The sequence below is a fragment of the Homo sapiens genome, chromosome 7 (assembly GCF_000001405.40).
Source record: "Homo sapiens chromosome 7, GRCh38.p14 Primary Assembly".
Taxonomy (NCBI): domain Eukaryota; kingdom Metazoa; phylum Chordata; class Mammalia; order Primates; family Hominidae; genus Homo; species Homo sapiens.
In genome coordinates, this window is record NC_000007.14 from 44549892 (window position 1) to 44577445 (window position 27554).

Consider the following 27554-nt stretch of genomic DNA (forward strand, 5'->3'; position numbering starts at 1 on the left):
ATATTTTTGAGCAAACAATGTGTAAAGATGGAATTTTTGACACCAATAACCTAAAGCAGGGACAAAGCTGTATAGGAGTAGAGTTTTGTATGCTGTTAAGTTGGTATCAATTCAAATTAGATTTTTATAACTCTAGGATTTTATTTGTAATCCCCAGGGTAACAACGAAGAATAATACATAGAATATATGCAAAAGGAAATGAAAAGAGAATCAAAATGTGTCACTACAAAAACAATTTTTAAAACCCAGCCAAGCAAGGTGACTCATGTCTATAATCCCAGCACTTTGGGAGGCTGAGGCAGGAGGATCATTTGAGGCCAGGAGTTCAAGACCAGCCTGGGCAACATAGTGAGATTCTGTCTCTACAAAAAATTAATAAAATAAAACAAAAAGCAAATAAATAAATAAATACAGAAGTCAATAATGAAGAAAATGAAAGACAAAAATCTATGAGACATACAGAAAAGAAAAGGTAAAATGGCATAAATCCTTATCAGTAATTACTTCAAATTTAAATGGATTCAACTCTGTAGTCAAAGTTGGAGAATGCAGAATACATTGTTTTAGAGATAGGATCCAACTATATGATGTCTAAGACACTCACTTTAGATCTGAGGACACAAATAGTTTGAAAATAAAAGAATAGAAAAAGATATTCCACGCAAATAGTCACCAAAAGAGAGCTGGAGTTGCTACACTAATATCTGACAAAATAGAATTTTTATTTTATTTATTTTTGGAGACAGGGTCTCACTGTTGTCCAGGCTGGAGTGCAGTGCCACAATCTTGGCTCACTGCAACCTCTGTCTCCCGGGTTCAAGCTATTCTTGTGCCTCAGCCTCCCAAGCAGCTGGGATTACAGGCGTGTCCCACCACACCCAGCTAATTTTTTGTATTTTTAGTAGAGACGGGGTTTTGCCATGTTGGACAGACTGGTCTTGAACTCCTGACCTCAAGTGATCTGCCCACCTCAGCTTCCCAAAGTGCTGGGATTACAGGCATGAGCCATTGCACCTGACCACAAAATAGAATTTAAATAAAGAATTGTTACAAAAGACAAAAATGACATTATACATTACTAAAAGGGTCAATTCATCAAGAATAAGTAATAATATATATGCACCAAACAATGTGACCTTAAAATATGTAAAGCAAACATTACATCATTGAAAGGAGAAATAGACAATGCAACAATAAGTAGTTGGAGACTTCAATACTCCATTTTCAATAATTGATGGAACAACTAGCCACAAGACCAGTAAGGAAATAGAAGTCTTGAACATTTATAAAACACTTGGACACTTGTATATATACAACATTCCACTCCATAACAGCAGGATACACATTTCTTTCAAGTGCATATGGAATATTCCTCAGGACAGACAGTACGTTAGGCGACAAAACAAGCCTTGTTATATTTTAAATAATTAAAATCATAGAAAGTATATTTTCCAGTCACAATGGAATGAAACTAGAACTCGATAATAGAAGGGGCTGAGCACGGTGACTCACACCTGTAATCACAGCACTTTGGGAGGAGAAGTTGGGAGGATCTCTTGGGCCCAGGGGTTCAAGATCAGCCTGGGAAACATAGAGAAACCCCATCTCTAAAAATAAAAATAAGTTGGGTGTGGTGGCTCACACCTGTAATCCCAATACTTTGGGAGGCTGAGGGAAATGAACTGCTTGAGCCCAAGAGTTCAGAACTTCCTGGGCAACATGGTGACATCCCATCCCTACTAAAAATACAAAAAATTAGCTGGTGTAGTGGTGTGCACCTGTAGTCCCAGCTTCCCAGGAGGCTGAGGTGGGAGGATCACCTGAACCTAGGAGATCAAGGCTGCAGTGAGCCATGATCGCACCACTGCACTCCAGCCTGGGCCACAGAGTGAGACCCTGTTTCAAAACAAAAATTAGCCAGGCATGGTGGCACACACCTATGGTACCAGCTACTCAGAAGGCTGAGGCGAGAGAACTACTTGAACCCAGGAGATCAGTGCTTCAGTGAGCCATGATCACACCACTGCACTCCATCCTGGCTCAAAAAAAAAAAAAGTAAATAAATTACAGGAAAAAAACCCTGAAAATTCATGATATTTGGAAATTAAACAACACATGCTTAACAACCAATGGATCAAAGCAAAAATCACAAAGGAAATATAAAAATACCTTGAGACAAATGAAAATGAAAACACAACATACCAAAACTTATGGGATGCAGCAAAGCTGTGCTAAGAGGAAAATTTTTAGCCATAAACACAATCAAAAAAGAAGAAAGCACCCTGGCGCGGTGGATCATGCCTGTAGTCCCAGTGCTTTGGGAGGCCAAGGGGGCAGGATTGAGGGAGACCAGCTCGGGCAACATGGCTAAACCCTGTCTCTACAAGAAAGATAGGAAAAATTCGCCAGGCATGGTGGCACGTGCCTGTAGTCCCAGTAACTTGGAAGGCTGAGGGATGAGAATCACTTGAGCCCAAGAGGTCGAGGCTACGGTGAGCTGAGATTACAGCACTGTACTCCAGCTTGGGCAGCAGAGCAAGACCTTGTCTCAAAAAAATTTTTAAAAATTAAAAAAAAAAAATTTTTTTAAAGAAAGGGCCAGGTGTGGTGGCTCATGCCTGTAATCTCAACACTTTGGGAGTCCATGGCAGGAGAATCATATTAGGCCAGGAGTTCAAGACCAACCTGGATTAACATAGCAAAACCCCATCTCTACAAAAAAGAGAGAAGGAGGAAAGAAAGGAAGAGGAAGAGAAAGAAAAAAAGAAGAAGGAGGAGGAGGATGTTGGGAAAAAGCTGAGTGTTGGGAGGGAAACTGAGGCAGGACTTGCATAATGTCCTCTGGAATGTGTCTAGACTTGCTGGCTCCTTGCTTCTAGCCCTCCTAGGCTCCTATTCCCATTATCTCAAGTAGCAGAACATGTTCCATATAAATGCTAAACTGTCACAGCTGTAGATCATGCGCCTGCCCTTTTGACCTCCACATTCTCACCACCTGTTTCTTTTTTTTTTTTTTAATACTTTAAGTTCTAGGGTACATGTGCACAACGTGCAGGTTTGTTACATATGTATACATGTGCCATGTTGGTGTGCTGCACCCATTAAGTCGTCATTTACATTAAGTATATCTCCTAATGCTATCCCTCCCCTCACGCCACAACGGGCCCCGGTGTGTGATGTTCCCCTTCCTGTGTCCAAGTGTTCTCATTGTTCAATTCCCACCTATGAGTGAGAACATGCCTCACCACCTGTTTCTTTGTTGGATTACCAATAAATACTGTGGACTCCCAGAGCGCAGGGCTTTCGCAGCCTCCATGATCACGATGGCCCCTTGGTGTCCCACCTTTATCTCTCAAACTGTCTTTGTCTCAATCCTTTGACTCCACCGGACTTTGTCACCCCCACGACCTGGTGTTGGGTCTGATCACCCCAACAGGAGGAGGGGGAGGAGGAGGAAGGGCGAGGAGGAAGAAGGAGGAGGGGGAGGAGAAGAGAAGAAGAAAGATTTGAAATTTTCTAACTGCACACCTTAAGGAGCTAGAAAAAGAAAAACTAAACTCAAAGCTAGAATTTTTAAAAATAATAAAGACTACAACTGAGATAAGTGAAATAGGGAATAGAAAACTATAGAGAACAGCTATGAAACAAAAAGTTGATTTCTTGAAAAAAATATTCTGAAGGAGCAATCTATAATACAAATAAAATAATACAGAAAAATAAATTTTAAAAGAAAAAAATCAACAAAATTGACAAACCTTTAGGTAAGGTGACTAAGAAAAAGAGAAGACTCATATTACCAAAATCACAAATGAAAGTGGGAACTTTACAATTTTACAGAAATAAAAAATACAATATAATACTATAAATGACTGTATAACAAACGATAATCTAGAAGAAATGGACAAATTGCTAGACATTGCATACCAAAACTGATTCATGAAGAAGCAGAAAATCTAAATAGACATATAACTAGTAAGGAAATTGAATCAGTAATTTTTAAACTCCCCCAAAAGAAAAGCCCAGGATCAGATGGCTTCACTGGCGAATTCTAGCAAACATTTAAAGCAGAATTAATATCAGCTGGGCATGGTGGCTCAACGCCTGTAATCCCAGCACTTTAGGAGGCTGAGGCAGGCGGATCACCTGAGGTCGGAATTTGAGACCAGCCTGACCAACATGGAGAAACCCCGTCTCTACTAAAAATACAAAATTAGCTGGGCATGGTGGCACATGTCTGTAATCCCAGCTACTCAGGAAGCTGGGGCAGGAGAATCGCTTGAACCCAGTTGGCAGAGGTTGCTGTGAGCCAAGATCACGCTATTGCACTCCAGCCTGGGCAACAAGAGCAAAACTCCATCTCAAAAAAAAAAAAGAAAGAAAAAGAAAAAGAAAAAGAAATAATATCAATCCTCCTCAAATTCTTCCCTAAATTGAAGAGGAAAGAACACTTCCTAACTTATTCTATGAGGGCATGTTCATAGTATCCTGATCCTATGGTATACTGATATCAAAACCAAAGGCACTACAAGAAAACTACAGATCTCATAAATATTGAATAAAATATACATGAATACTGAGTAAAAGTACTAGCGAACCAAGCTGAACATCGTATTAAAAAGATTATACACATTGGCCAGGCGCAGTGGCTCAAGCCTGTAATCCCAGTACTTTGGGAGGCCGAGGCAGGCAGATCACTTGAGGTCAGGAGTTCGAGACCAGCCTGGCCAACATGGTGAAACCTCGTCTCTACTAAAAATACAAAAACTAGCCGGCTGTGGTGGTACATGCCTGTAGTCCCAGCTACTTAGGAGGCTGAGGCAGAAGAATCACTTGGACCTGGGAGGCAGAGGTTGCAATGAGCTGAGATCATGCAACTGGACTCCAGCCTGGGCCACAGAGCAAGACTCCCTCTCCAAAAAAAAACAAAACAAAAAAAGAGTATACATCATGACCAGGTAGACTTTATTCCTGGAATATAAGGATGGTTCAACATATGGAAATCAATTAATGAACTATACCAGATTAACAGGATGAAGGGAAAAAATCACATGATTCTCTCAACCGATGCAGAAAAGACATCTGACAATATCCGACATCCTTTCATAATAAAACCACTCAGAAAACAAGGAATACAGGTAACTCTCTCAACATGATAAAGGCCATGTATGAAAAAAAATGTCCAGGTGTGGTGGCTCATGCCTGTAATCTCAGCACTTTGGGAGGCTGAGGCGGGTAGATCACTTGAGGTCAGGAGTTAAGAGACCAGCCTGGCCAACATGGTGATACCCCATCTCTACTAAAAATACAAAAAATTAGCCAGGCGTGGTTGCACACGCCTGTAATCCCATCTACTCGGGAGGCTGAGACAGGAGAATCACTTGAACTCAGGAGGCAGAGGTTGCAGTCAGCTGAGATTGTGCCATTGCACTCCAGCCTGGGCGACAGAGTGAGATTTCGTCTCAAAAACAAAAACAACCAAAAAACCCCACAGTTTATATCATCCTCAGTGACAGAAGGCTGGCAGGCTCAATGATTCATGCTCATAATCCCACTGCTTTGGGAGGCCAATGTGGTAGAATCACTGGAGCCCAGGAGTTCAAGAGAAGCCTGGGCAACATTACAAGACACTGTCAAAGCAAGGTCAAATCAAGGGTCAAAGCAAGGTCAAAGGAAGGTCAAAGCAAGACCCTACCAAAAAAAATCTTGGTGTAGTGGTGCATGCCTGTAGTCCTAGTTACTCAGGAGGCTCAGACAGGAGGATCACTTGAGCCCAGGAGTTTGAGGCTGCTGTGAACCACGATTACATCACTGCACTCCAGCCTGGAAAACAGAGGAAGACTCTGTCTCGAAAAATAATTTTTTTTTTTAATGATGAAAGACTGAAGGTTTTTCCTCTAAGATCAGGCAGAAGAGGGCTGGGGGTGGTGGCTCATGCCTGTAATGCTAGCACTTTGGGAAGCTGAGGTGGGTGGATCACAAGGTCAGAAGTTCAAGGCCAGCCTAACCAACATGGCAAAACCCCGTCTCTACTAAAAATGCAAAAATTAGCCGGGCGTGGAAATTAGCCAGGCACCACACCTGGCTAATTTTTGTATTTTTAGTAGAGACAGGGTTTTGCTATGTTGGCCAGGCTGGTCTTGAACTCCTGACCTCAGTTGATCTGCCCACTTCTGCCTCTCAGAGTGCTGGGATTACCGGCACGAGCCCACCATGCCCAGGGGAGATACTTTCTTTTTTATATTTTGAGATAAGAAAAGCTTTATTTAAAGTCAACTGGCAAGGAAGGAGGGAATGCTCAATCTCTTTTCCTGAGCTAGGGGTTGGGTTGGGTTTTATAAGCACAGGGTAATAATGAGGCATGATCTAATTGGATCTCACAATGAGGTGATGCTGGAAGGTAATATCTGACTGGATCCTGCCGTGGGGTGATGCCAGAGCTTGATCTGATTGGATCCTGGATCCTGCCATGTGGTGTGTGGTGTCCGATGTTTTGTTTTTTAACTTTGTTTTTTGTTTTTTTGAGACAGAGTCTCGCTTTGTCACCCAAACTGGAGTGCAGTGGAGCGATCTCAGCCTACTGCAAACTCTGCCTCCCAAGTTCAAGCAATTCTCCTGCCTCAGCCTCCTGAGTAGCTGGGATTACAGGCATGGACCACCACACCTGGCTTTTTTTTTTTTTTTCCTTTTTTGGTAGAGACAGGGTTTCACCAAGTTGGGCAGGCTGGTCTCAAACTCCTGACCTCAAGTGATCCGCCCACCTCGGCCTCCCAAAAGGCTGGGATTACAGGCATGAGCTACCATGCCTGGCCTTGTTTTTTAACTTTTATTTTACATTAAGTTGTACATATGCAGGTTTGTTATATAGGTAAACTTGTGTCACGGGGGTTTGTTGTACAGATTATTTTCTCGCCCAGGTACTAAGTCTAGTACCCAATAGTTATTTTTCCTGCTCCTCTCCCTCCTCCCACCCTCCACTGGGTTCCAGCATCTGTCGTTCCCCTCTTAGTGCCTATGAGTTCTCATCATTTAGTGAGAGAATATAAGTGAGAATATGTGGTATTTTGTTTTCTGTTCCTGCGTTAGTTTGCTAAGGATAATGGCCTCCAGCTCCATCCATGTTCCTGCAAAGGACATAATCACATGTCTTTTTTTATGTCTGAATAGTATTCCATGACATATATGTACATTTTCTTTATCCAATCTGTCATTGATGGGCATTTAGGTTGATTCCATGTCTTTACTATTGTGAATAGTGCTGCAATGAACAGACGTGTGCATGTGTCCTTATGGCAGAACAACTTACATTCCTTTGGGTATATACCCAGTAATGGGATTGCTGGGTCGAATGGTAGTTCTGCCTTTAGGTCTCTGAGGAATTGCCACGCTGCTTTCCACAATGGTTGACCTAATTTACACTCCCACCAACACTGTACAAGTGTTCCCTTTTCTCTATGACCTTGCCAGCATGTTATTTTTTCTTTTTTTTACTTTTTAATAATAGCCATTCTGGCTGATGTGAGATGGTATCTCATTGTGGTTTTGATTTCTGTTTCTTTAATGATCAGTGATATTGAGTTTTTTTTCAAATGTTTGTTGGTTGCATGTATGTCTTCTTTCGAAAAGTGTCTAGGAATGAGATACTGTCACCACTTCTATTCAACATAGTGTTAAAAGTTCTAACCAGAGCAATTTGGCAAAAATGAAATGAAAAGAAAAGAGAAAAGAGAGAAAGAGAGAGAGAGAAAGAGAGGGAGAGAGGGAGGGAGGGAAAAGGGAAGGGGAAGGGAAAGGGGAAGGGGAGGGAGGAAGGAAAAGAGTGTCCAAATTAGAAAAAAATTAAACTTATCTCTATTTGCAGATAGATTTTATATTCTAAAACAGTAAATACGCCACTGAAAATGTATTATAACTTGTCTGAGTGTGGTGGAGCATGCCTATAATCCCAGCACTTTGGGAGACTGAGGCAGGACAATCACTTGAGCCCAGGAGTTTAAGACCAGCCTGGGCAACAACGTGAGACCCCATCTCTACAAAAAATAAAATAATTAGCCAGGCATGCTGGCATGCCTGTAGTCCCAGCTATTCAGGAGGCTGAGGCAGGAGGACTGTTTGAGTCCTGGCAATGGAGACTGCAGTGAGCTATAACCGTGCCACTGCACTCCAGCCTAGACAACAGGGTGAGACCCTATCTTGAAAATTTTTTTTAATAAAAAAAATTACTAGAACTAATAAATGAACTTGGCAAAATTATAGGATACAAAATCAATACACAAAAATCAGATGCATTTCCTTCCTTCCTTTCCTTTCCCTCCCTCCCTCCCTCTCTCTCTCTCTCTCTTTTTCTTTCTTTTCTTCTTTCTTTCTTCCTATCTGTCTTTTTTCTTTTTGAGACAGGGTCTCACTTTTTCACCCAGGCTGGAGTGCAGTGACACGATCATCACTAACTGCAGCCTTGACCTCCCAGGCTCAAGCAGTTCTCCCACCGTAGCCTTCGGAGTAGCTAGGAGGGACTACAGGTGCTCATCACCATGCCTAGCTAATCTTCCCCCTCCCTCCTTCTCCTCCCCCCTCCCCCCTCCCCCCTCCCCTCCCCTCCCCTCTCCTTTCCTTTCCTTGACAGGGTCTTGATCTGTCGCCCAGGCTGGAGTGCAATGGCGTGACTCAGCTCACTGCAACTTACGCCTCCCCAGTTCTAAGTGATTCCCTTGCCTCAGCCTCCCGAGTAAGTAGAATTACAGGTGTGCCACCATGCCCAGCTAATTTTATATTTTTAGTAGAGACAGGGTTTCACCATGTTGGCCAGGCTGGTCTCGAACTCCTGACCTCAGGTGATCCACCCGCCTTAGCCTCCCAAAGTGCTGGGATTACAGGCGTGAGCCACTGCACCCAGCCCCTGGCTAATTTTTTTAATTTTTATTTTTAGAGATGGCATTTCACTGTGTTGCCCAGGCTGGTCTTGAACTCCTGGCCTCAAGTGATCCTCACTCTTCAGCCTCCTGAATTGCTGGGATTATAAGTGAGGGCCACCATGCCTGACTTTAGCACCACTTATCTTGACACATGAAAAAGATAAACCATTCTGTTCCCACTGTTCCTGCCATCTGGTGGTCTCTTACTTGCAGCTGTATACACTCCTAACTGATGTACCTGTAATTCCCTGCTGTCCACCACCTGACTATTAGCACCCCTTCTCCTACTGTTGCCCCACAGCAGAGTCCTCAACCTCAACACTACGGACATTTTCAACCACAGAACTCTCTTGTGGGGGCTGCCTTGTACATTGCATGATTTTAACAGTATCCCCGGCCTCTTCCCACCTAAAGCCAGTAGCATCCATTGCCCAGATATGATAACCTAAAATGTTTCTTGGCTGGCACAGTGGCTCACACCTGTAATCCCAGCACTTTGGGAGGCTGAGGCGGGCAGATCACTTGAGGTTAGGAGTTCATGACCAGCCTGGCCAACATGGTGAAACCCCATCTCCTAAAAATACAAAGATTAGCTGGGTGTGGTGGCACATGCCTGTAGTCCCAACTACTTGGCAGGCTGAGGCAGGAGAATCACTTGAACCCGGGAGGTGGATGGAGGTTGTAGTGAGCCAAGAACACACCACTGCACTCCAGCCTGGGCAACGGAGCAAGACTCTGTCTCAAAAAAAAAAAAACAACAATATTTCTATACTTTCCCAAAAGCCCCACTGGGGCAAATCTGGCCAAGAACCACCACCCTGCAGGAAGCCTGTGCTAAGCCAACTAATCTGCTCCCTCCACCCAGCTCTGCTATAACCAAGCCAAGCCTGTCTCTCAGGCTTCTCCGGGCCTTCCCAACGCCTGCGCATACAATCTCCTTGGCAGTGAGGATTTCTACCACCACCCAGGCCTGAGTGGTCTCTCCCTCCTCTGGCCATGATAGCAGGGGTTGGCTGTCTCCCTTGGCACTTGGCCTAACCATCACTGCATTCATGCATTTTGCTTCTAAAAGCTGAGGTCCTGGTTCCCGGGGCGGGGGCCATACCTCCTACACCAAGAATCCTTGAACCTATAGGGGTCCAATTTGTACATTTCGGTGATTGTATTAGGTACTTCGCTTCACGAATACAGCTGCAGTCAGGACCCGTTGCTGTCAAAGCCATAGACTCAGGACTGTGTGACCCTCCATCTCCCCACTGCTGGAACAGCCACAAGCAGTTCAGGAGCCTGGTCCCCCAGCCCACTGCTGAGGAGAAGGGCGTGTTGGTCCATGGAGGGGATGAGGCAGGCTGAATCTATAAAGGGTCGGGGGGTCCCAAGTACTTCCTGAGGGCTCCCTGAATGGGAGGATGGGCAGCTCTGCCCTGACTGTTGCTCCCAGCATCCCAGCTGCAGGTTCTGATGGAAGAGGGTCTTAGCCTGGGCAGGGCTAAGATGGTGAAGCCAGACCACTAGCAGGGGTAGCCACCAGAAATGGAGATCACATGTCAAGGCTGAGGGGAGGCAAGGTCTGGGGACTGGCCCTACATGCTTACTCTCTACTGTACAAGCATCAGTTGCTTCTCACATTCGTCCCAGCCCTGCAAGCTGATGGGTAGCCTTCATCCTGGACCCTTTGTCTTCTGTGATGGTCCCCCTCAACACAAAACTGCATTTTCTAACCTTGAACCAACAAGTTGTACAGTGAGCTGTGGGGAACAAAAGGGGCCATGAGAGGGGCCTGAAGCAGGGTCTCCCAGATGGGAGCAGGCATGGGCCCCTGCCTACTACGCCTGATACCCCTGGCCTTGACAAACATGAGACCCGTGGAGGACGAGGATGAGGGCTTCCTGTCTGAGCCCTGAGTCATGGAGGTGACACAGAGGGAGGGTCCTGCCTGCTGCACGGGGGGCACAGAGTCCAGCTCCATGCGGTGCTATTCCTACCACATCCTTCCCTCTGCTTTTAACTGGAATTAGTCCTCAAGAGCCTCAGGCAGTAGAAAGGTTGTGAAAAGAGAATTACCTCCGGGGCATTAAGGATACTCTCAGGGAAAAGCTTTTAATGAACCACTGGACTCAGGAACACACAGATATGCAACTTGGCATGGTCCTTGCCTCCGAAGAGCTCCCACATCAAGGTGGGGACAGGCCCCAGCAATTAGAGCTTCATGAGGTCAGAGCAGCATCAGACACACAGAGGAGGATGCCCAGCCCAGGCTGGCGCTCAGGAAGACTTCCTGGAGGAGGCCACGCGTGGGTCAGAGAGGTCTCACAACCTAGGGTTGCACATTTAGCAAATAAAAAGCAGGATGCCCAGCTATACTGGAATTTCAGAGAAACAGTGAATATCTGTTTTAGCATATGTCCCAAATATTGGACAGGACACGGTTATGCTGTAAAATTCCTCATTATTTGAAATTCCAATCTAGCTAGACATCTCCTACTTTACCTGGCCTCCCACGTCACCATGACTTTCGGATTAAGTGTTGGGCTCAGAGAAGGGATGTGACAGGGAAGTTTCATATCCAGGACTTGAACCTAGGTATCCCACCTCCAATTCCAGACTAGAGTCTGACAGACACAGCACCTCCCCTCTACCACTTAGCCAAGTGACATTGGGCTGGCTAGTTAATCTAAGCTTTTGCCAATCTGCAAAATAAATGTGTGTGGTGGATATTAAAGCCTTGCCTCTCAAATGTGGACTAGAGACCAGCACCTTTGGGCTCACCTGGGACGGAGGTGAGAACTCAAATGCAGAACCCCAGGCTGTGCCCTAGACGTATTCTCGTGGAAGTATGGAGACACGTCCCAGAAGGCAATGGTGGATTCAACAGGCATTGGGAGGTGCTAGCACAGAGCTGGGCTGCAACAGGCGTGCCAGGTGCCTGAGCCACTTCGGCCCCTACAGGAACCCTTGGAGGGGACATTTTACCCCCACTTACAGGTGAGAACCTAGAGAAGGCCAAGAAAAGTGACATGCCTTCCCTGTATGAGACCATACAGTCAGAAAGTGGCCATCATGGTCTGACCTGGCCACTGTGCCCACAGAGCACCTGGGACATTGAGGCGAGCCACAGCAGGATGCTGCGTGGTGGAGGCAACCCTTGGGGTGTTCGTCGGAAGACCCCCTTGATGTGCCTTGTTCTTTAGCCCACTGTTGCCACAGATACCCTCAGTGCATTCTACGCCAAACCTACTGCATCTCAGCAGGTTTGCGGATAGGCTGGAGGGATAACAAGACACTGGATGCATTGAGTTCTGAAAGCATTTCAGGATAAATAAACTAAATACTGTGCATTTGCCCAGTGTCATGCCTGGCACAGAGCAGGTCTGCTTGGCCAAGGCACCTTCCTCTCTGCAATGATGAACCACTCCTTCCCTTCCTTACCCTTGTAAACATGGCTGTGAGGAATGGAAGAGCAGCAACTCACAGCCTGTTCCACAAGGCAGGAGTCTTACATAATGATGTTCCTGGGGAAAAGGATGACAGCTGACGGGGCACCTTCCCTGCTCAAATTCAACTTTATCACCATTGCCTCTTGGGGCCCCGCCCCTGAAGTCCAAAGTCTCACAACTAATTCCCCCAAAGCTGAGTCATTCATCCTTAGCAGATGCAGGCAGAGAATCCGCTGGGCTGGGAATGCACCCTGAGCCTTTTGTGCTCCAGGTCCAGAGGTTTCTGGGCACACCACTGTCCTCCCATCTGCTATCACCAGCTATATCATCAGAATGCTGTTGGCCGGGTGTGGTGGCTCACGCCTGTAATCCCAGAACTTTGGGAGGCCGAGGCGGGTGGATTACCCGAGGTCAGGAGTTCATCCTGGCCAACATGGTGAAATCCCATCTCCACAAAGATACAAAAATTAGCCAGGCATGATGGTGGGTGCCTGTAATCCCAGCTACTCAGGAGGCTGAGGCGGGAGAATCGCTTGAACCCAGGAGGCGGAGGTTGTACTGGGCCGAGATGGCGCCACTGCACTCTAGCCTGGGTGACAGAACAAGACTCCATCTCAAAAAAAAAAAAAAAAAAAAGAAAGAAAAAAAAAAAGAATGCCCTTGTTTTCAAAAACCCTCCATCTTCTGTATCCTTTGAATTTTTAATATGTGACTATTACATTTTTTTAAAAAATCAAATTTTCAGCCCCCATTGCATATTTTGGTAACAACCCTCTGGTCTTTTCACCCTCAAATGTGCAGGGATCCCTCCCACCCCAGGGAATTTGCACATGCTGTCTCCCCTGCTAGGATTGCTGTTCCCTCCCACCCTTCCCATCTCAGCATAAACCTCACTTTCTCAAGGAAGGCAGCATTCTCTCCAACTGGGTGAGGGCCCCTTATAGCCCTCCAGTACCCTGAACTCCCAACATGACTATTGAGCAGTCTGCATTGGCTGACCATCTCTGCTCCTTGCCTCATAGACTGTGCCTTGTCCATCTGATTCCAGACCATAGCACAGTCCACACAGCCAGGCACCCATTCAGGTATACATGTGGGCAAAACTGTGCCAGCCCAGAGTGGAGAGGCCACTGCATTCTCCTGACCTTCCTGCTTCAGCCCAGGGCGTCACCAGCCTGAAAACCATCCAAGCTTCTCTGCTGTTTAGTGAAGCCTTAGGCTTCCACGCAGCATGTGCCACACCTCCTTCCTCCCTTCCAGGCCCACATGCCCTCTGTGCTGTTTGGCCCTGGACAGCCCTAGGTTCATTTGCCCATAGCACACATACCCTCATCCAAGGCCTGCCCCAGTCCTGATTTGCACATTTGTGCAAAGGGCACAGGCTTTGGCCAGACTAAGTCCAAGAGGCCAACCCTGAGTGCCTGTTTGTTCACACGTAAATGGGCACATGGTACCTGCCTCCCAGGTGGGGTGTTGAACGAGCCATTTATACTTACTTTCTCTCTGTAGTCTCAGGACACGAAGATGGACCTTCCTGTTCTTTATTTTTTAAAGATAGAGTCTCACGGCCAGGCATGGTGGCTCACGCCTGTAATCCCAGCACTTTGGGAGGCCGAGGTGGGTGGATCACCTGAGGTCAGAAGTTCAAGACCAGCCTGACCAACATGGTGAAACTCTGTCTCTACTAAAAATATAAAAAACTTAGCCAGGCGTGGTGGCGGCCACCTGTAATCCCAGCTACTCAGGAGGTTGAGGCGGGAAGAATTGCTTGAACCCAGGAGGCAGAGGTTGCAGTGAGCTGAGATTGCACCACCACACTCCAGCCTGGGCAACAAAGTGAGACTCTGTCTCAAAAAAAAAGAGAGAGAGTGTCTCAGTATGTTGCCCAGGATGGAGTGCAGTTGCGTGATCATACAGCCTCGAACTTCTGGGCTCAAGCAATCCTCCCATTCTTTCCAATGCCCTGGCCCCAGAGCGCCCACATGGTGCCTAACCCCACAGCAAAAGCCCCCGTGGTACCAGCTACTCCACCAGGGTGGACAGGCCAGAACCCAAATCTTGCAAAGAACCTCATTCACCAGGCAACTTCTAAGCCTCATCTTCCCCACCTAAAACATAGAAATAGCTTCCCCCAGGGATGCCGTTAGGAGGAAGGAATGTACACTTTGAACAAACAGCCTCCATATCTTTACCCAAGCTCCTCTGCTCCGGGCCCAGACCCTGCTATCCCCAGGCACGAATACAGCATAAGGCTGGCTCCATGTTCCTCTACCCCACCCCCCAAAGAAGGAAATCACTGGGGAAACCAATCTCCTCTCCATCAGGGTGGCTCTGGGATACAAGCTCTTGGTAGGGTGTGCTTGGAAGTGACAGGGTCAGAGAGATAAACATAGTGGAGACAGACTGTGCATCACTTTAGAACACAGCTTGGCTAAAACATCCAGAGCACTCACTGTCCCCAGGACCAGCCTCAGCACTCCATGAAGCCAGGTGGGAAGGCCAACCTAGGGCAAGGACCAGGCCTCAGCACTGCAGGCACTCTCTGCCCTGTCTTGTCTTCCAAGAGGTGGCAGCGATGCCCACTGATAGGGTCTGTGCAGTTGACAGATGTCTCCCAGCAGATGCTCAAATGGTTGCTCTTTATCTCCAGTTCCATTAACTCTTTGTCCTTCTGAATACTGCTAACCACCAAACTGCAAGAATATCGTCTGCAGCTCCTTAGCAGCTCTAGTTCACACCTGCCCAGAAAGTACCACTGTCCTGCCCCCATCATACACACTGGCTTCGTGGAAATCCTTGGGTGTTAACAGAAGAGGAGCAGGGATCATGGAGGCCCCAAATCTCGGGTCCTGCTAGCTTCAGTCCTACCATGACCAAAGACACAGACTCCTTCGTCTCTGTATAAGCTTTTGCCGAGAAAAAACTTGGTTCTTTCTAAAATACTCAGGCACTCTCCTAGTTTCTCCCCACTCTCCTGCTGCCCCAACCTCCTCATGCCCCCAGCATGGCCTTGTGACGCCTGGTAAGCAGGTGACATGCAATCTAGGACCCCAAGCCAGCAGAGAAGCCCAGCCTTCAGGCTGAGAAGGCAGCTGGAGAGCTCAGGCCAGGGCATAAGGGACAGTACACATGTGTGTATGTCACACCACCGCTTATGCACATAACACACAGACACAGCTCACACATCAACAGTTGTTCAGAAAGGGACCAGCAGATAGCTGCCCCGGCTCCTCTAAGGAAGAGCAGGCAGCTTCCCCCCGAATCTACATGTGCGTGTGCTCGGGGAGAGGAAGGCTGGCGGTCAGGAAGGCCCATCTCCCAGCCTGATCCCAGGCAGCAGGGCTGCAGGAGCTGGGCAGGAAGGCTCTGGGCCGGCCATAGCCACCTGCCAGCAAGGGCAGGCTTCTCTTCTCATGGCTGGGGCAGCTCGGCACAGCTGACCTCTGCTGGCCAAGTGAAGCACTGCATGCAGCCACAGAGCCAGGCACAGCTGTCTTCCGAAGTTTCCCGACTCCTGATGTTTTGGGGATTCAAATAGTCCTTTTCATATGCTGGAGGCACAAACTGGGGCAGCTAAAATTTTTATTCTGTTGTCAAGGGGCAAGATGCCAGCTTGGAAGTGCCAAGGAGCTAAAGGGCCCAGCACTGCCGGCCCCAGAACTGTCTGTTCAGGCTGTGCAGTAAGCACCAGAGCCTCGCCTGTCCACGAAGGGTGTAAGCCTGTGCTCCACAATGTGCTCAGCTCCAGAGAGGCCCAACAACCTCAGGAGGGCTTGGCTGTGGGTCTGAATTTCTTTCCTTTGTGCTTGAAGCTGCGCAGTGGGTTCTGGGACTTTGCTCTCTAAGGAGGCAAAGTCACAGGTTAGTTGGGGGAATCAGGCCGACAGACAATCCACCCACCCACCCACCCAACTGAGAAAGACACAAAGGGAGCCGTGCCGGCAACTGGCCAACACGACCAGAAGGTGCTGCAGATAAGGAAATGGGGAAAGGCAGCTGGGGAAAGAAAAGCAGGGCCTGCAGGCGGCTGCAAAAGTACCCCTATCCCACACCAGATTTTTGGGGCCCGGTTCTAGGGTGCCCCCTCTTCCCCTCCCTAGGGCACCCTCTCTTCCCCTCCCTAGGGCAAGGCGCCTCCACATTCTGGTGATGACAAAAGAGCAGGTTGGGAGGAGTCCTGGGGCTGTCCGCAGTCCCCAGGAGCCGTACCTTGGCCTTCCTACAAGAGGAAGACAGCTTCTTCCGCTTCTTGTGAGGGCGCACCAGGCCACGGAGAGCAGGAGGAACTGGAAGAGATGCTTGCCTGAGCAGTGGGCTCACCGCTACTGCTCCCATCCCTGCCCTCCCGCTGATTCTGCAGCAAATTCTCCAATTCTGACCCAACTGGCAGCCTATGACATACATCTATTCACTACCACATCTGCACAGGGCCAGGAGAATGTGAGCACCTTAGACTTCCACTATTTAAATCACTCTCCTATATTGTTTAGATTTGTTACAACAAACATGTAACAAGAAAGAAAAAGACAGACATCCTTAAAGAAAGAAAATGCAGCTGAAATAAAAGTCAACAGGTAGTTTCTTCACCTGTGGCCCATTACTACCGATACAGGGGGCCCCGCATCCCAGCTGCACCTGATCTTGGCTCTATCTTCACCTCGCCCACCCCATGGACTCCCCCAGGCCAACCACACCTGGGCCCTCCCCTTCAAATGTCAAACATCCCACATCCTGACACCTTTCCACCTTCTCCTGGCCCTTCTAAACCTCCTGGCCACACCTTGGCAAATGACTCCGCTATACGAGCAGACTGGGTTCCTGAGGCCAAAGTTCTAGCCTTACCTTCTCCCTCCCTACCCACCCTCCCAACTCCCCTCCTCACATCTCAGGCCAGGACCTGGACTGGGGTCTCCTCCAGCTCACTGTCCCATGGGAACCCGGCCCCCACCGCTCTCTCTGGCATTTTCATGTTCCCATCTCTTCTGGATCCTTCCTTTCCCAGTGCCCAGGCTTTTCCTGCCCTGGAACATTCCATCTCCACCCTTTGTCACCTCCATAGCAGCAACACCACACCCGCTGGGTGGCTGCAGGTCCAGGCTGAGCAGACCCTGTGGCATTGGGAAGGGTCCTGCACTTGCTGCCCACAGCCTCCTCTCCACCACTCTCCTCCTTCAATCCATTTTAGGCATAAAAGTCACACATACTCATTACCAAAAACACCTCCTATGAGACACTGAAAGAAGTCATTACCCAGAGCCTGCCAAAGATGAGGAGAGGTGCCCAGTATTAATGGCCACATAAAGCTCTAGCCTGGGCTGCACTACAGAAACCAATCCCAGGGTCCTGACCTCATGCCTGCCAACCCCTGCATCCCTCGCACCACCACTGGCTCTTCTCTTGCTACCTTGTCGGTTTAGGCCTTACAGAGTCTGTCTCCCTGCTGACTGTTCTTACCCAGAGACTCCACAGATGCCTCTTCAGCAGCTGCTAATCTTGAGTCTTTTGCAGCACAGGTGGCTCTCTCTGCCTCCTGCCCGTGACTCTCTCCCAAACCTGTTCACTCCCTTCGACCCATGGATGGCCATTTGGCCCAGCTCTGGAGACGACCTGGCCTGAAATGCTGGGTCTGCCACCCACCCTGCACTACCTCAATTTCCTCATCTCTAAAATGGAGACAGCAACAGCTAACCCGTGGGACCAAGCAAACAAGTTTAGAAACACAGGGGTGTGCCTGTTTACATGCCCGCGTGCTGCCAGGGTCTCCAGGTTCTATTCTGCCTGAGCATCCCCAGCACCAAGCACAGGGGCTGACCCAGCAGTGGAGAAATTAATGCCACTTCCCCAGCCTGCTGCCTCCTGCCCTGTCAGGCCACACTCACCCAGGTAGTCAGGAACATGGCCCAGGTGGGGCTTCACCACTGCGGGGTGCAAAGGTAGGTCATGCCGCAGCAGCTGGAGGTCCCTAGGGTTGTCTTCAAAGTATGTCTGCCGGGGGAAGAGGGAGAGCCACAGAGTGAGCATCTTTCTTCTGTGACTTCACAGACCTAGCTTTTCAAAGGATAACACACTCATGTGTTTCAAAAGGCATGAGGCAGCTGCTTCTGTGCATTTCTCAGAACCTCCCGGGAGTGGATGTTTCCATTTTCCCTTCTCCATGACACACATGGCAGTACCCTGTACCCCTTTTTGCTGGGCATCATCTTACAGACTGTTCCATATGGACACGCAACCAACCTCATTCCTTCCCATGTAACCTTCGGCTCTGAATGCACCTGAGTTTACCTAGCAAGCCCCCTATGGTGGCCCCAGGCTGTTTCCATCTTTTGGTTCCATGATAATGCCATGGATGGATGAATGCAGGCACATGCTTGACTGTGCACATTCACAAGCGTGACCAGGATTAAGTTCCAGAAGTGGAATTTCGGATGAAAGGACACATGAGCTCGTAATTCTGCTGGACAGTGTCCACCATAAGGTTGTGCCAATTTACCACCAAGCAGAACAGACTGGCTTCCTTCCATGATTCTGGGTCCATTTCCTCCCCTTCCGTGCCAAAGGCCAGAAAACTGCCCAGTTCTCTGCTTCTCACCACTCGGAGCTCAGCCAGTCTCCAAAAAGGGCAGCCGTCTAAGATCTATCCCCTTCTCACCTCCCATCCACTCACCTTAAGCTTCTCAGAATGCAGAAGCTCTTCCTTGATCTCCTTCAATCTTGCCTCCCGAATGGCCTGCTTAGTCACTGAGCGCATGGCATCCTGGGGGTGGACACTGAAGGTCAAGACAGTGAGGCTGCCCCAAATCCTCCCTTCACACCTGGATGCTCAGCAAGACGGTGCAATCCCTGGGCCACAGCCCCTCCCCTCTCATTCCCCTCCCCACCACAGCAGCTCACCCTGCAGCGATAGCGGAAGCCCTCGATCTCCTCCATCCGGAACTGGTAGGGGAGCAGAATGGGGCCCCTGTTCTCTGTGGAGAAGAAAGCAGCGAGGGTCCCACAGGCTGAGGCCTTAGGATAGGGTCTTCATTGGAGGCCTCCTGCACCTCCCCCTTGGGGGAAAGCAGCAGGGGACCCACCGCCTTCCTGGGATGCCGAACATGCAGGTTAGCTGCACCTGGGCCTCTTACAGTGATGACCCATCTGTCCCCGTGTGTGGATGGGGGTGGCCTGTGTGGCCCCAAGCCCAAGAACCCGTCACCCACTCTCTTCTCCTCTCCCAAGGAGTACCCCATGGTATTCCTTGGGAGTCAAGGTACCCCCATGACGACGGCCACAGAGAGCAGTCCAGGACCACCCAGCACCCTGGGGTCAGGTGCTGTCCTGAGCTGTCACAGCAGCCTGTCAGGTCACTCAACGCTCATGAGGCAGACAGTAAACACAACTTTGGACAAATTACCTCAATTTGTTTATCTCTCAAGGGGGACAGTGCCTGCCACTCAGGGCAGAACAAGGATGGATGGTGGAAGTGGCCTGTCACACTATGTTGTGACCTCTGTCATCATTATCATGGAGTTTTAAAGCATTGTGGAAGAAGCCTGACCCTGGCCCAGGACCACAAGAGCCAGGCTCTTACCTCCACTGAGAAGCTCCTCAATCTTGCCTAAGTGGAACTGCTCCGTGGGAAGCACAAAGGTTAAGACTATGCCTGGGTTGTTAGCGCGTGCTGTCCTGCAAGGGAAGACAGTGCAGCTTGCATCTCCAACCCGCAGGCTCTGTCCAGCACACCCCAAGTCCCTCAGTGTGCCTACCATGCAGATGCCTGGGCCGTCACACTACTACCTGCCAGCTCGATGGATGTAGGCCTCAGGGGTTGGGGGAAGATCAAAGTTGAGCACAGCAGACACATGGTGGAAGTCTATGCCCCGGGCCACACCTGCTTCCGGATCAGAGGCCCTGCAGAGATAACTCAATGTCAGCCGGACCCTTCCTCTCCTCTGGGCACGTATTCACACGCTGAATCAGCAAAACTTCCTCTAAATGCCTGTAGATCATAAGACCCTGACATACAGAGGACTCTCCAACAATGGAACCGTTCCAGGAGTCAGGGTTTCCTGGGGCAGCCTGGAGCTTTGACATGTACCCAAATCTCGGCCTGACCTCTGTTCTGGGACAACAGCAGAACTCATTGCCCTACATGGTGATCTGAAAACCAACTCTGAGCTAGTCAAGCCTTCAGCTGGACAGAGACTGGAGAGTTGGGGGGTTCCTTTTCCCTTCAGAAATATGCTCCCTGCAAGTCACAGCCATACCACCAATGCAGGATGGGCCATCTCCCCTGCAGGGCTCTGCATGCCAACAACCCCGGCAGTTTTGCCCTTCGTGGTGCATGTGCAGTGTGCACCATCCACTCCCTTCTCTATATCCAGGCAGCTGAGCAAGAACCTGTGGGGCTCTCTGGGCTACACTACCAGCCAGGCCTGGAAGGTTTGGCTCCCTGCTCTGTGCACTCTGGTTTTAGTCTTCCAAAAAGCTAAAAACACAGGCATTTCTGGGGAGGGATGGAAAAAGAGGCATGGACTCACTTGTCCCCTTTGGGCCCTCGGCCCCGACGCTTGCCCTTGACTGGGGCCCCCAGGACTTCAGCATCAGTTGCTATGACACAGTCGTAGAAGCCTTGGTTGAACTGTGAGATGATGTGGCACCTGCAGCCAAGAGCGGACAGAGAATCAGCTCAGCAGAGCAAGCTCAAGGCCCCTCTGCCATCCCTAGTATCACAGTAACCATCACCCTTTCCTTTTTCCTCTTCTTAATCTCTTTCCCTACTTAATCATTGTGCCTCAGTTTCCTCAGCTGGAAATAATTATAGGGTTTTGTTTTTTTGAGACAGAGTTTCACTCCTGTTGCCCAGGCTGGAGTGCAATGGCACGATCTTGGCTCACTGCAACCTCCACCTCCCGGGCTCAAGCAATTCTCCTATCTCAGCTTCCTGAGTAGCTGGGATTACAGGTGCCTGCCACCATGTCCAGCTAATTTTTGTATTTTTAGTAGAGACGGGGTTTCACCATGCTGGCCAGGCTGGTCTTGAACTCCCGACCTCAGGCGATCCGCCCACCTCGGCCTCCCAAAGTGCTGAGATTACAGCAGGCATAAGCCATGGTGCCCGGCCATGATAGGTATTTTGGAGTTGGGAGAAGTCAGTATCAGTCACATCTAGAACCTGGCCCCTACTAAGTGCTTAAGAAACAGAACATTAACTGGGTCCCCTTTCCATCTCTATCTTCAACTTATTTCAACCAAGATGTTGGCTGTGGCAGACCTGGAGCGCAGTGGAAGCTCTCCATTGAGCACACAGGTGGGGATGCTGAACTGTTCCAAGAACAGGCGTAGCCGGTAACTCCGTTCTAGAGTGTTGACAAAGAGCAGAGACTTGCCCCGAATCAATGACAGCTTGAGCAGGGCATACAGCAGGAGGAATTTGTCTTCCTCAGTCTCACAGACCACCTGAAACTGCTGTAACTGGTCTGGCCCAGGCAGCTGGGACTCCTGTAACTTAAGGGTAACCTGGGGGAGAAAACAGGCCTGTGGTCAGAAAGGAAAAGAACACAGAGATGTATGGCCACTTACTCACCAACCAAAGCATCAACATTTTAGTGCAGGGCAGAGATGCATTTAAGGATTCCTGGCACCCTAACTCTCCTCCAGTTTTGTAACCTAAAACCCCAAAATGCCCTTATTGTTGTGGTATATAGAGTATACCATATAAACCATATATAAAATACTTCCAAGCACAGAACAAAGAGAAACACATCAATAAAGGACTACATTGAGAAGGGAAGGCCTACAGCAACAGGCCTTCTGAAAGGTAAAGTTTACTTAAGATGAGAACCTTGGCCTTAGAATTTTGGCTCTGCTGCTCAAAGCTGCCCCTTAGGGGAGGTCCTTGCTCAGGATTTTAGGCAAAGCATGGCCTGAAATGGGAGACATCCCTTGTGGACACTTGGAAATATATAGTGATTTTAGACCACTGGCTTTTAGTGCCTCAGGACCAGGGATGAGACACTAAGTGACAACTGTCCCACCCAAAACACCAAAGAATCCCCTAAGAAGGAGCATCAAGATCTTTGAGTGCCCCCATGTCTGCAGCTCCAGACACTTCCATGGTGCCTCTTACCGGGTTATGTAATATCAGCTCCTTGAGTGCTTGTACGTCCTCGTTAAAAGTAGCTGACATGAGAAAAGCCTGGTAAATCCGGGGCAAGTGACTGAAATGAAAGAATCCAATCAGATTCCAGCTCCAAGGGCCGCTAATTGTAGTAACTGGCTTCCAGCCACCCCGCTCTCGTCCCAACTCCTACTCACAGATGTTTCCACTAGGAATCACACCCACCTCTGCCTTACCAGAGGAGACTCTTGAGCTCTTCTTCAAAGCCAAAGGAAAAAAGAAGGTCAGCTTCGTCCACCACCAAAAGCTCCAGGGAGTCACGAAGTTTCAGGCTGTCTTGCTGCAAGTGGCTTAATATGCGAGATGGGGTCCCTACTACCACATCTGGCTTCTCCATCAGCACAGCTCTGGAGGTGGACAAGACATCAGTATCAGGCAGAATGTAGCAGCTGGGATCTCACCCTGGATTTGCTCTCTTTTTTGCCACACACAAACCCAACCCCACAACACTGTGTAGCTTCATTCAGGTACAGCTTTGCTGCTTTTACCCACCTCTGAGAGACTGAGTCTTCAGCAGCTGAGACATTGGCCACTCGGACATCCCGAGCACAGTAGGTAGCCAGCTGCTGAATCATGGACTGTGCTTGCCGTGCCAGCTCCTTGGTAGGAACAAGAACAAGGCCTCTCACTGCCTGTTCTACCACCGGACCTGTCTGTAAGAATATGAATTAAAGACTTTAGCCAGCAGTGCACATCACTGTGTCCACGTGTCTCTACCCCTTCCAGCCTACCTGACCCATCTGCTGCAACACTACTTAGCAGTACTTTGATCATCTATCACTCTGCCCGCCTCAGAATGCAGAGTGGAGAGTTCTTTCCCCAGGCACTGACCCTCAAAAAGAATAACGTACTCTGATGTTTATGAAGCTACTTTAAATATACTAGTTATGAAGCTAAATTCTCACAATAATTCTGTAAGTAGAAAAGATAGATGTGCTCCCTTTTTATGTAAGAAAGAAAAGAAAGTGCTTTGTCGAAGATTACGCAAAGGTTGGTGGTAGCAGGGCCGGACAAGGATCCAGGTAACCTGAACTCCAGCCCAGAGTGTTTGCCACAACAGCACCAGGTTCTCAGGCCGGCCTGCACGGGTACAGGGCCAAGAGAAAACCTCAGACAAACGGGAACCGCCCTTCCCAGGCTTTTGGAGCTTGCCTCCTTCCTCCCCTCAGCTCTCTCGTTACCCACCGCCTTCCTATGGAGCAACAGCTGCAGCATCGGAATAGCATAAGCGGCCGTCTTCCCGGAGCCCGTGCGGGCCCGAGCCAGGAGGTCCTTCCCTTCTAGGGCCAGTGGGATGGCCTTCTCCTGGATCAGCGTAGGTCGCGACCAGCCCAGATCGGTGACAGCCTAGGAGACCAGGAGTGCGGTTTAAGCGGCGTGAAGAGCGATGGCGCGCCCCGCAGAGCCCGTAAGCCGGCTCCCCAGCCCTCGCGTGTACCTGAAGGAGCCGGGGATCGAGGCCCATGTGTTCGAAGCCCAGTGCTTCAGAGTCCTCCATGGCGCTGCTCAGTAGCGCAGCACGCACGCGCTGCAGGAAAAACGCCACCGACGCGAGCGGGAGCAAAGCAACAACCAATCGGCTTCGGAGACGAAGTCACTTCCCGGAAGTGCTGGCGGCCTAGGCTTCCGGTACTCGGACGGAGCTCTGCGACTGCGCAGTCCCTAGGACTGGGTCTAGTAGGAGGCGGTGGAGCGGCCGTGCTGGGGTCGACGGGGTACTTTGGACTACAGAGCCGCTCCACTGGCTCTTCCGGCGTTCCCGGACGCCGCTGACGCACCTGATTCTCGCGACCTGCAGGAGAAGCCTCGGCCGGGGCGAGGGCCGAGGTCGTGACGGGCATGACCGTCTCTCTGCTTGGTTAGGGTTAGTGTCCCGCCGGGCACATCACCCTATGAATGGAGCCACTGAGATAGACTGGGCTGAGGAGAACCGGTTGGAATAATGAGCCATGGCAGCAACTGCCTGAGAGAGAGGACCGGCGGGTTGCTGTAGGGCTCCCTAACCGGACTGCCTGTCAGAAACCTGCACAGCTTGGTTTCTGTTCTTTGTGTCCCAAATCTGACTCGGGTCACCAGTTAAGACCCGTGTCAGACTTCTGACCTACAGACTTGCGTCGTTTTAAGCCAGTAAATTTGTGGTAATTTGTTACAGTAGCAATAGGAAAATAATACAGGTGAGGACTAAGAATCCTAATCACAAATCTTTTTTTTTTTTTGAGACATGGTCTGACTGTCACCCAGGCTGGCGCGATCTCAGGCTCAAGTGGTCCTCCCACCTCAGTCTCCTGGAAAGCTAAGACTACAGGCACGCACCACCACGTCCAGTTAGCGTGTATGTATGTATGTACGTACGTGTGTGTGTGTGTGTATGTGTATATATGTAACTCCTCCTCCCCTCCCCCCTCCCCTTCTCTTCTTTTCTTTCTAGATGGGGTTTCGCCACGTTGCCCAGGACGGTTTTGAACTCCTGGGGCCAAGCGATCTGCCTTCCTCGGCCTCCCAAAGTGCTGGGATTGCAGGTGCGAGCCACTGCTCCTGGCCCATAAGTCTTTCAGTGTAGAAGAGGGAAGCAGAAGAGGTCAAAGTGGTGCCATGTGAGAGCTCAACCCACCCTTGCTGGAGGAAGGGAGCCAGAGCCAAGCTGGAAAAGGCAAGGAAACAACCTTTGTGATTACATTAGGCCCATCCAGATGATCCAGGATAATTTATTTTACAGTCATCTGATTAGCAACTTAATTCTCTTCTGTCATGTTAGGTAACATATTCATATGTTTCAGAGTGGTAGGCCATTATTCTACCTACCATACCACCCAACACAAATCTACATTAAGACTATATCTGAGTGTTGCACAGGAATCTATGTCAACAAGCTTCCAGGATGATCCTGTGCATCCTATCTGATGCAGCCCAGCATCTGAGTACCAGAGACTAGCATCTGGCTGTTAGGTTAGGAGAGATCAGCTCATGCACCAACAGGTAGTCATGCTGGGACCAAATGATGAAGATAGGTACAACTAGTCCCAGTGAGAGCTGGGGAATTGGGCTGGGATAATAGAGGATGTTAAGAATGGAGTGTCCCCTCAACCCCAGAACTTTTTTTTCTTTTTTTGTGGTAAGGAGGGAGAAGGCTGTTTGGTAAGGATGTTGTAAACTCTGAGAAAGCAAGAATTTCAAAAGTCAAGGGTAGTATTGGGGGGAAAATCACTAGAATTTGTGTGTGTGTACCCTAACTACTGTTTTGGTTTTGTTTTTGTTTTTTAGAAGGAGTCTCACTCTGTCGCCCAGGCTGGAGTGCAGTGGCATGATCTCAGCTCACTGCAAGCTCCACCTCCCGAGTTCACGCCATTCTCTTGCCTCAGCCTCCCGAGTAGCTGGGACTACAGGCACCTGCCACCACGCCCGGCTAATTTTTTGTATTTTTAGTAGAGACAGGGTTTCACCGTTGTTAGCCAGGATGGTCTCGATCTCCTGACCTTGTGATCCGCCCGCCTCGGCCTCCCAAAGTGCTGGGATTACAGGCGTGAGCCACCGCGCCCAGGCCCTAACTGCTGTTTTTTAAAAAACTTTTTAGGTCACAACCTATCTGTAAATATGACACACCAGTATGGAAATCCTTATTCTTCTCACAGCCACCAGCTATTGGCCCATCCACTGACTATCCCAATTCCACCTGCCTTATCAGTGGAAAGGTGAAATGTATGCCCACTTTTTCCTCACACCATTCCCCTTTCTATCAAAAACTACCAAGAGAAACCCAGGACCTACCAAAATAGTTAAGATGTGCTCCACTGTGTCTACTGCCAGCCAAACCTGTTGAAGGCTGGCTCAACCCTAATCTGTGCCTTCCTGTCTTCTCACAAACGTAGTCTGATTTGCTGGCTAGATTTCTAGTAACAGCCACAGAGCAGAAATGTGTCCCTTCCCAATATGTCACATAATCCCCAAGAGCCTCAGGCCAGAAGTCCACAACATGTAACTAGTTCAAAGGATAAAATTTTTCTCTGCATTAATTCTAACATGAGGAATACTGAAAACTCTTTTAAACATCTGAAGAATTTCAGCAATTCACAATTCACCTTACTGGAGTGTTACACTGTCATCCAGATTTAGAAACAGGAGGATATAAAACTATTAAATGGAAAAGCCTAGAGAACTAAATTGCATTTTTTTTTTTTTTTCTGAGACAGAGTCTCCCTCTGCCCCCCAGGCTGGAGTGCAGTGGCTCGATTTCTGCTCACTGCAACCTCCTCCCGGGTTCAAGCGATTCTCCTGCCTTAGCTTCCTGAATAGCTGGGATTACAGGCACACACTACCATGCCTGGCTAATTTTTATACTTTTAGTAGAGAGGGGTTTTCACCATGTTGGCCAGCCTGGTCTCAAACTGCTGACCTCAGGCGATCCCCCTGCCTTGGCCTCCCAAAGTGCTGGGATTATAGGCGTGAGCCACCCCACCTGGCCCTAAATTGCATTTTTTTTTTTGTTTTTTTTTTTCAGATGGGATCACTGTTGCCCAGACTGGAGTGCAGTGGCACGATCATGGCTCACCGCAGCCTTGACCTCCCGGGCTCAAGTGATCTTTCCACCTCAGCCTCTCAAGTAGCTGGGACTATAGGCATGTGCCACCAGCTAAATTTTTTGTATTTTTTGCAGAGACAAGATTTCGCCATGTTGCCCAGGCTGGTCTCGAACTCCTGGGCTATAGGGATCCACCCACCTTGGCTTCCCAAAGTGCTAGGATTACAGGCGTGAGCCACCGTGCCCAGCCCACATGTATTTTTAAGAGTAAAAATAGCCAGGCACAGTGGAGTATACCTGTAGTACCAGCTACTTGGGAGGGTAAGGTAGGAGGATCACTTGAACCTGGGAGCTCAAGGTTGCTTTGAGCTGTGATGGCACCACTGCACTCCAGCCTTGGGGACAGAGCAAGACCCCATCACCTGTGCCCGGCCAGCTCACACCTGTAATCCCAGCACTTTGGGAGGCGAGACGGGTCACCTGCGGTCAGGAATTCAAGACCAGCCTGGTCAACATGGTGAAACCCTGTCTC

General features: G+C 49.1%; 1 protein-coding gene across 2 annotated transcripts, besides 5 other annotated features; it reads right to left on the bottom strand.

Moving 5' to 3' along the window:
• Window positions 11466-12360: an enhancer, noted in NCBI's record as "H3K27ac-H3K4me1 hESC enhancer chr7:44600956-44601850 (GRCh37/hg19 assembly coordinates)". NCBI's record gives its function as "activates a minimal SCP1, AML or CMV promoter by ChIP-STARR-seq in naive and primed H9 embryonic stem cells {active_cell/tissue: H9 hESC(naive and primed)}" and the evidence as "EXISTENCE:reporter gene assay evidence [ECO:0000049][PMID:30033119]".
• Window positions 15708-15919: a silencer, noted in NCBI's record as "fragment chr7:44605198-44605409 (GRCh37/hg19 assembly coordinates)". NCBI's record gives its function as "represses an EF-1alpha promoter that drives an FKBP-Casp9 reporter gene in an ReSE screen in K562 erythroleukemia cells {active_cell/tissue: K562}" and the evidence as "EXISTENCE:reporter gene assay evidence [ECO:0000049][PMID:32094911]".
• Window positions 15708-16272: a biological region, named in NCBI's record as "H3K4me1 hESC enhancer GRCh37_chr7:44605263-44605762".
• Window positions 15773-16272: an enhancer, noted in NCBI's record as "H3K4me1 hESC enhancer chr7:44605263-44605762 (GRCh37/hg19 assembly coordinates)". NCBI's record gives its function as "activates a minimal SCP1, AML or CMV promoter by ChIP-STARR-seq in naive H9 embryonic stem cells {active_cell/tissue: H9 hESC(naive)}" and the evidence as "EXISTENCE:reporter gene assay evidence [ECO:0000049][PMID:30033119]".
• Window positions 15913-24017, bottom strand: DDX56 (DEAD-box helicase 56). 2 transcript variants are annotated; one of them, NM_019082.4, is made up of 14 exons: window positions 23945-24017; window positions 23692-23853; window positions 22999-23159; window positions 22683-22853; window positions 22456-22546; window positions 21601-21845; window positions 20867-20986; window positions 20124-20237; window positions 19918-20012; window positions 19239-19312; window positions 19012-19101; window positions 18227-18332; window positions 16557-16633; window positions 15913-16188 (listed from the first exon to the last, which is right to left on the bottom strand). In NM_019082.4, exons 1-14 carry the CDS (start codon window positions 24002-24004, stop codon window positions 16111-16113), a joined length of 1644 nt encoding a protein of 547 aa, NP_061955.1. In that variant the 5' UTR covers window positions 24005-24017; the 3' UTR covers window positions 15913-16110. The 2 variants fall into 2 exon arrangements, with proteins under 2 accessions (NP_061955.1, NP_001244118.1); NM_001257189.2 differs by lacking the exon at window positions 20867-20986.
• Window positions 23634-23783: an enhancer, noted in NCBI's record as "active region_25942". NCBI's record gives its function as "activates an Ori minimal core promoter by ATAC-STARR-seq in GM12878 lymphoblastoid cells {active_cell/tissue: GM12878}" and the evidence as "EXISTENCE:reporter gene assay evidence [ECO:0000049][PMID:35858748]".
• Window positions 24018-27554: the final 3537 nt, after the last annotated feature.

Excerpts from the sequence above, each read along its gene's own strand:
- DDX56 (NM_019082.4), bottom strand. The coding sequence starts at position 24,004 with ATGGAGGACTCTGAAGCACTGGGCTTCGAACACATGGGCCTCGATCCC. Across the intron at positions 20,238-20,866 it reads CGAGGGCCCAAAGGGGACAA|GGCCTCTGATCCGGAAGCAG; the intron begins GTGAGTCCATGC and ends TTATCTCTGCAG. Across the intron at positions 19,102-19,238 it reads GCTTCCGCTATCGCTGCAGG|GATGCCATGCGCTCAGTGAC; the intron begins GTGAGCTGCTGT and ends GTCCACCCCCAG.